General features: G+C 52.1%; 1 protein-coding gene across 6 annotated transcripts in view, besides 9 other annotated features; it reads left to right on the top strand.

Annotated features, from left to right (window-relative positions):
- Positions 768–847: a silencer, noted in NCBI's record as "silent region_7566". NCBI's record gives its function as "represses an Ori minimal core promoter by ATAC-STARR-seq in GM12878 lymphoblastoid cells {active_cell/tissue: GM12878}" and the evidence as "EXISTENCE:reporter gene assay evidence [ECO:0000049][PMID:35858748]".
- Positions 878–937: a silencer, noted in NCBI's record as "silent region_7565". NCBI's record gives its function as "represses an Ori minimal core promoter by ATAC-STARR-seq in GM12878 lymphoblastoid cells {active_cell/tissue: GM12878}" and the evidence as "EXISTENCE:reporter gene assay evidence [ECO:0000049][PMID:35858748]".
- Positions 1,178–1,517: a silencer, noted in NCBI's record as "silent region_7564". NCBI's record gives its function as "represses an Ori minimal core promoter by ATAC-STARR-seq in GM12878 lymphoblastoid cells {active_cell/tissue: GM12878}" and the evidence as "EXISTENCE:reporter gene assay evidence [ECO:0000049][PMID:35858748]".
- Positions 1,178–2,207: a biological region, named in NCBI's record as "H3K27ac hESC enhancer GRCh37_chr16:66729849-66730688".
- Positions 1,368–2,207: an enhancer, noted in NCBI's record as "H3K27ac hESC enhancer chr16:66729849-66730688 (GRCh37/hg19 assembly coordinates)". NCBI's record gives its function as "activates a minimal SCP1, AML or CMV promoter by ChIP-STARR-seq in naive H9 embryonic stem cells {active_cell/tissue: H9 hESC(naive)}" and the evidence as "EXISTENCE:reporter gene assay evidence [ECO:0000049][PMID:30033119]".
- The window catches only part of CMTM4 (CKLF like MARVEL transmembrane domain containing 4), a 98,566-nt gene continuing 93,272 nt past the window's right edge, over positions 1,410–6,703 (top strand). For 5 of the 6 annotated variants that reach the window (XR_933209.3, XR_933210.3, XM_017022954.2 and 2 more), the window contains exon 1: positions 1,410–1,813. Coding sequence is in view for 4 of the 6 variants with exons in the window: in XM_017022954.2 (XP_016878443.1) it covers positions 1,628–1,813 (186 nt within the window). In the remaining 2 variants the exon portion in view is untranslated. The remainder of the gene's footprint in view (positions 1,814–6,703) is intronic. The other variant, XM_011522882.2, reaches the window with a different exon arrangement.
- Positions 1,608–1,897: a silencer, noted in NCBI's record as "silent region_7563". NCBI's record gives its function as "represses an Ori minimal core promoter by ATAC-STARR-seq in GM12878 lymphoblastoid cells {active_cell/tissue: GM12878}" and the evidence as "EXISTENCE:reporter gene assay evidence [ECO:0000049][PMID:35858748]".
- Positions 4,466–5,145: an enhancer, noted in NCBI's record as "H3K27ac-H3K4me1 hESC enhancer chr16:66726911-66727590 (GRCh37/hg19 assembly coordinates)". NCBI's record gives its function as "activates a minimal SCP1, AML or CMV promoter by ChIP-STARR-seq in primed H9 embryonic stem cells {active_cell/tissue: H9 hESC(primed)}" and the evidence as "EXISTENCE:reporter gene assay evidence [ECO:0000049][PMID:30033119]".
- Positions 5,146–5,825: an enhancer, noted in NCBI's record as "H3K27ac-H3K4me1 hESC enhancer chr16:66726231-66726910 (GRCh37/hg19 assembly coordinates)". NCBI's record gives its function as "activates a minimal SCP1, AML or CMV promoter by ChIP-STARR-seq in primed H9 embryonic stem cells {active_cell/tissue: H9 hESC(primed)}" and the evidence as "EXISTENCE:reporter gene assay evidence [ECO:0000049][PMID:30033119]".
- Positions 5,826–6,505: an enhancer, noted in NCBI's record as "H3K27ac-H3K4me1 hESC enhancer chr16:66725551-66726230 (GRCh37/hg19 assembly coordinates)". NCBI's record gives its function as "activates a minimal SCP1, AML or CMV promoter by ChIP-STARR-seq in primed H9 embryonic stem cells {active_cell/tissue: H9 hESC(primed)}" and the evidence as "EXISTENCE:reporter gene assay evidence [ECO:0000049][PMID:30033119]".

Genomic DNA, 6,703 nt, shown 5'->3' with positions numbered 1-6,703 from the left:
CACACACACAAAAAACCCCCAAACAACACACACACGCACACACAAAAATATAGATAAAAAGTAATACAGTAGAACAATTATTTAAAGTATACGAGAAGATGTGTGTAGGTTATATGTAAATACTACACCATTTTATATAAAGGATTTGAGAGCATCTTCAGATTTTGGTATTTGAGGGGGTCCTGAAAACAAGCTCCCTCTCTTGCCCCCATACAGAAGGACAACAGTATTAGAGTCACTGTCCTTCCTATCTTTGAAAAAGTTGAGGGCTGGGCATGGTCAGTCACACCTGTAATCCCAGCAATTTGGGAGGCTGAGGCAGGAGGATCCCCTGAGCCCGGGAGTTCGAGATCAGCCTGGGCAACACAGTGAGGCCCTATCTCTACAAAAATAATGATGATGAAAATAATAAATAACTTTTTTTTAAAAAAAGAAAAAGTAGGAACCTGGGCTCTGCCCACCAATGAACTGTGTGACCTTGGACAAGCTACTTCCAGTCTGCAGCCTTAGTCTCTTCTTCTGTAAAATAGAAATAACAACGATACGTTCTTCAAGCGCCTTGCTCAGTGCCTAGAACATGGCAAGCTCTCGGTATTTGTGGTTGTGGAAGGGTTCAATATCAAAGCGACACTTCTTAGTCAGTGTTTTACTTAGCTTAAAATTAGCCTTCACACTTGAATTGTAAATTGGTCCCTAATTAATGCCCTTCGGGGCAAAATCTGTGTTTAACCTTACTTTATGCGTAGACAGAGCTAGCAAAGCTTTTCAGCTGAGAGGAGAGGAACATGTCAGTCGCCTGGGTCAGGCCGGCGGGGACAACCTGCAGTGGGGCGGCTCCTCACCCTGCCCCGCCCGCCCCTGGCCTCGGAACCGGTTTGTTCCAGGCGCCCAGCGTGAGAACACAGGCACTTACCCACCTCTCGTCGGCCCAATAGTCTGAGTCAAGCCCACCCTGGCCACGCACCGTTCCCGGCACCCGGGTGGCGCAGCCCGTCTCTGTCTTTACCGAGAAGCTCCCCACCCTATGCGTCGAGGACCCCACTTTCTTCAAAGGAGAACCTGAGGCAGCGTCTGGGAAAGCAACTCCATGGCCTCCAGGTCCACCTCGACCCTTTCCTCAGCCCCAAGACCCCGCTGCCTGAACCCCATCGCCCCGCGTGCCGGGATCGCCAGCGCCCACCAGCGGCTCCCGCCCCGGCTCTAGGCGCAGGTGGGGGCGGGGCCAGGGCGGGGCCTGAGGAGCCGGCGCCCCGCCTCGCCCCGCCCCTCCCCGAGGCCCGCGGCGCCGCCGCCTCCACCTCGCTCGAGCCGCGGAGCGCCTCCGAGCGGCCGGCTGCGGCCTGGCTCCGCCTCTCCCGGCCCGGCGCGCCCGCTCCCGCCTCCTTCCCTCTCCTGGCTCCCACCTCCCTCCCTTTCCGCTGCCGAGGCGGCGGGAGCCGAGCCCGAGCGGACCGAGCCGCAGCCGCAGCCGGGCGGCGGGCGAGAGGCGGCGGCGGCGGGCGGGCCGCGGGCAGTCAGTCGGGCGGCGGCGGCGGCGGCGGCGGCGGCGATGCGGCGGCCCCGCTGAGTCCGCCCGCTCCTGGCGCCGGGAGCCAGCCGCGCGAGGCGGCCCGGGCCGGGCGGCAGCATGCGGAGCGGCGAGGAGCTGGACGGCTTCGAGGGCGAGGCCTCGAGCACCTCCATGATCTCGGGCGCCAGCAGCCCGTACCAGCCCACCACCGAGCCGGTGAGCCAGCGCCGCGGGCTGGCCGGCCTGCGCTGCGACCCCGACTACCTGCGCGGCGCGCTCGGCCGCCTCAAGGTCGCCCAAGTGGTAGGTGCCGGGCGGGGCCCCAGGTGCCCGAGGGCGGCCTAGCCGCACGCCTCCCTCCCCGCCCCGCTGCGGGGCCTCCGCCGCGTACCCGCTTGCCCAGGCCGGAGCCCGCTCCTCGCGCCCCCTCTCCCTCGTGGGGTCCCGGGACCACTCTGCAGCCTTCTCTGGGGACCCCGCCTTCGGCCAGAGCCTGCCCTTCCCAGGCCGGCAGCCTCAGGTGTGCGCCTCCTACCTGAGCACCTGCCTTCGGGCCTACCTGTCCGCTCCGCCCTCGCTCCCGGGAGTCTGTGGCGTTACTGGGCTGGGTGCTGCTGGGAATCCTGCTGTCTCCTGGGTACAGCTGGTCTTAGCAACCTGTGGCAGGTTTTCCCGGCCCGCGCAACCTCCGGACGGTGCCTGTTTCTGCCTGCGGAGACGAGGGACTGTGGTTTGGTTCCCACTTGATGTCTAGCTGGGTGCCAGGCGTATATGGTAGGCGCTTAGTAAGTATTTGCTGGATGGAGGCAGGTAGCCCTGATGCAGTGGAGGAGCCCAGATATGCCCACAATTCTCTACACTGCAGAGGTTTGTGTCCTTCTAACCAAGAAGACAGACTTGGCATCCCGGAATCCACCGCCCAGCACGGTGGCTGGCACTGCCCAATTGGTACCCAGAGTTAAATCTGGGAGGGCAGCCAGTTTTGGAGGTAGCAGAAACAGAGAACTTTCTGTTGGACTTGTCTGTAGTAGAGCTCATTTCTCAGGGTCCTGTGTTTTAGCTTCCAGGGTGTTCTGGGCAGGGGCCTCTCAGCTCTGTTCCTGCTTTGTGGTTTTGTAACATGCCTCTGCGGGCAATTGCTTAGCTCTGTTGTGGGCATGCTCTAATTCAGAAAAACCCGTGTGTCCCCCCAACATTCTCTGTCACAGGTAGGCCTTCTGAGGCCACCGGCCTCAAAACTTTATAGACTTCTCATAGCCAGAGAAGCCACTTGTTCTTGTTCTCTCTCTCTCTCTTTTTTGAGACCGGGTCTCTGTCGCCCAGGGTGGAGTGCACTGGTGCGATCGTGGCTCACTGCAGGTTCGACCTCCCAGGCTCAAGCGATCTTCTCACCTCAGCTTCCCGAGTAGCTGGGACTACAAGCACGTTCCACCATGCCGGGTTAATTTTTGTATTTTTAGTAGAGATGGGGTTTCACCATGTTGCCCAGACTGGTCTCCAACTACTGGGCTCAAGCGATCACCCCTCCTTGGTTTCCCAAAGTGCTGGGATTACAGGCATGAGCCACCGTGCCAGGCCTGGTCCTCCTTTTCCTACTTGAGTGCATAAGCATTCCTTGGGAATAATATAATGTGTGGATACCCTTTAAATAAATGTCCTGGCGTTTGTAAATGACAGAATCATAGGCTATTTTATGTCTCTCTTGGGTGAAAGGCTTGTTCTGCTGACTGCCAGAGGGTATTTTTGAAGGGCTTTATGGAAAGAAAAATGGATCAGATAATCTGTCTTCAGAATTTTAAATTTACCTTATCTGGTAAACTGGAATGTTTTCAAAGATGCATTGGTTTTTAGTTTGGCGTTGCTGTTAGCAAAGAGAATGTAGGAGGTGAAGGGAGGTGTGCAATTGCCTTTTTTTTTTTTTTTTTTTTTTGAGATGGAGTCTAGCTCTGTCGCCCAGGCTGGAGTGCAGTGACACAATCTTGGCTCACTGCCACCTCTGCCTCCCGGGTTCAAGCGATTCTCCTGCCTCAGCCTCCCGAGTAGCTGGGATTACAGGCGCCCACCACCACGCCCAGCTAATTTTTGTAATTTTAGTAGAGACGGGGTTTTGCTGTGTTGGCCTGGCCAGGCTGGTCTCGAACTCCTTACCTTATGATCCGCCCACCTCGGCCTCCCAAAGTGCTGGGATTACAAGCGTGAGCCACCACACCCTGCCTGCAATTGCCTTTTAAAAGAGGCAGCTAGCCAATGTTTGAGTATGGGGTGCCAGCAGCCCGTACAGATAATTAGAAATGAATAAGAAAAGAGCAGGGCTTGGTCAAATACCTTGCTTTGTTTGCACTGTGGGAGTTTGAAAGTAAATAGAACTTGTCCCTAAAAGGATCTAGTAAAAGAATTGAAATCTAGTTTGTAGACTGTTAGTTATTACTGCATTGCTAGGAGTTTATCACCTAAGTCCAGGGATGGAAGCCTGTGGCATTTATCATTACTTTTTGGTAAGGTACTGTTTTGTTGTAGCGTTGTTCTTTTCTTTTTTTCTTTTCTTTTCTCTTTTCTCTTTCTCTCCCTCGCGCTCTCTCCCTCTCTCTTTCTTCTCACTCTTTCTTTTTCTTTCTTTTTTAAACACTGGGTCTAACTCTGTTACCCAGGCTGGAGTGCAGTGGCACAATCTTGGCTCACTGCAACCTCCGCCACCTGGGCTCAAGAGACCCACCCACCTCAGCCTCCCAAGTAGCTGGGACCACAGACGCACACCACCATGCCCAGCTAATTTTTTGTATTTTTGGTAGAGACGGGGTTTCACTATGTTGCCCAGGCTGGTCTCGAACTCCTGAGCTCAGGTCATCTGCCCGCCTCGGCCTCCCAATGTGCCTGGATTACAGACGTGAGCCACCACGCCTGGCCTAGATTTGTACTTTTCATCCGGAAGAACTTTTGGGCCTAGCCCCCAGAATCTCGCCTAACTCTGTTGTTTGTTAATCTCTAGAACTTAAACTCTGAGAGGTTATATGTGGGTGAGTAAAGGAAAGGGACCTGCTTGAAGGGTATGGCAACTTCAAATGGTTTTGGTGTAGTTGGCTTCCCAGCCTTGATGAAAATCCCACAAAACTCCAAGAAATTGGACTCTAAATTTAAACTGAAAAGAAAATAAGAAGTCATTATGAAGATACTTCTGAGATGTTACAAAACTCAGAATCCATCAAGAAATATGAGTAAGTTCTAACTCTGCGGTTTGGAGAAAAATTTGACTTTTAAAAATCAGGAAGCTGAGGTGGGGGGACTGCTTGAGCCTAGGAGTTCAAGGTCACAGGGAGCTATTATGGTGCCTCGGAGTAGCCACTGTGCTCCAGCTTGGGCAACGTAGCAAGATCCCATGTCTAAAAATAAATTTAGTGGTGTGTATGTTTTTTTTTTCTTTGTGTTAGACTTTTGTTCTTGATGCCCAGGATGGAGTGCAATGGCACCATCTCAGCTAACTGCAATCTCCGCCTCCTGGGTTCAAGCAATTCTCCAGCCTCAGCCTCCCGAGTAGCTGGGATTACTGGCGCCTGCCACCATGCCTGGCTAATTTTTGTATTTTTAGTGGAGACGGGGTTTCGTCATGTTGGCTAGGCTGGTCTCAAACTTCTGACGTTAGGTGATCCACCCGCCTCAGTCTCCCAAAGTGCTGGGATTATAGGCGTGAGCTACTGCGACTGGCCATAAATTTAGTTTTTTTAGATTTTTTTTTTTTTTTGAGATGGAGTCTTGCTCTGTCACCCAGGCTGCAGTGCAGTGGCAAGATCTTGGCTCACTGCAGCCTCCACCTCCCAGGTTCAAGTGATTCTCCTGCCTCAGCCTCCCAGGTAGCTGGGATTACAGGCGCCCACTAGCACGCCCGGCTAAGTTTTCTATTTTTTAGTAGAGATGGGGTTTCCCCATGTTGGCCAGGCTGGTCTTGAACTCCTGACCTCAAGTGATCTGCCCATCTTGGTCTCCCAAAGTGTTGGGGTTACAGGCGTGAGCCCCTGCGTTGGGCTGTAGACTTTTTGGTGGTGTTTTTTGTGGCCTATTGCAACCTGTAGATCCTTGCTATTCCAAGTTTGGCCTTAGGCCAGCAGCATTGCCATCACCTAAGGGCTTGTTAGAAATGCAGAATCAGTGGCCTTACCCCAGAACTTCTGAGTCATCTGCATTTAAACAAGATTCCCCAGGTGATCCACGTGTACATTAAAGTTTGAGACTTACCTTTCTATATCCTTTCAGTGTTAACCTTGCAACAGGCCGGGCTCACGCCTGTAATGCCAGCACTTTGGGAGTCCGAGGTGGCTGGATCACTTGAGGTCAGGAGTTCAAGACTAGCCTGGCCACCATGGTGAAACCACATCTCTACAAAAATACAAAAAATTAGCCAGGCATATAGCGAGTGCCTGTAATCCCAGATACTCCAGAGGCTGAGGCAGGAGAAGCGCTTGAACCTGGGAGGCAGAGGTTGCAGTGAGCTGAGATTGTGCCCTTGCATTCCAGCCTGAGTGACAGAGCAAGACTCCATCTCAAAAAAAAAAACAACAAAACCTCACACAGGTGCTAGCAACCAGCTTTCGATAAATAGTCAACCTTAAAGCTGAGATTTTTCGGTAAAATGAGACTGCCAATACCTCCCTCAAAGGATTAAGAAAATGAAATAATATGTGTAAGTTAGTACCTACCGTATTAGGTATCTAACTGATGTGCAATAAATGTTAGCTGTCATAGTGCTAACAATGCCTGTCTCTAAAGAAACTGTGTGAAAATATCACCAAAAACATAATTATGTGTTTGAATTAAAGATAGTTTAATTCCTTATGATTTAAGTTAAATTGGTATTTTTAATGGAATGTGATTGGATACTAAAGCTAATCTGAAACATTATGAAAAAATTAAACGGTGCAGTTGCATAGATTTTATCTTTTCTTTTTCTTTTTGAGACAAGGTCCTGCTCTGTGCCCAGGCTGGAGTGCAGTGGTACAATCATAGGTTACTGCAGCCTCGACCTCCTGGGCTCAGGTGATCCTTCCACCTCAGCCCTCCAACTAGCTGGGACTACAGGTGTATGCCACTATGCCTAGCTAATTTTTAAATTTTTTGTAGAGATAGGGTCTCCCTGTGTTGCCCAGGTTGGTTTCAAACTCGTGAGCTCAAGCAATCCTTCCTCTTCGGCTTCCCAAAGTGCTG

This window comes from Homo sapiens, chromosome 16 (assembly GCF_000001405.40).
Source record: "Homo sapiens chromosome 16, GRCh38.p14 Primary Assembly".
NCBI classification, from domain to species: Eukaryota; Metazoa; Chordata; class Mammalia; order Primates; family Hominidae; genus Homo; species Homo sapiens.
The sequence above is the reverse complement of the archived record's forward strand: the minus strand, read 5'-3'. Positions and strand labels throughout refer to the sequence as shown.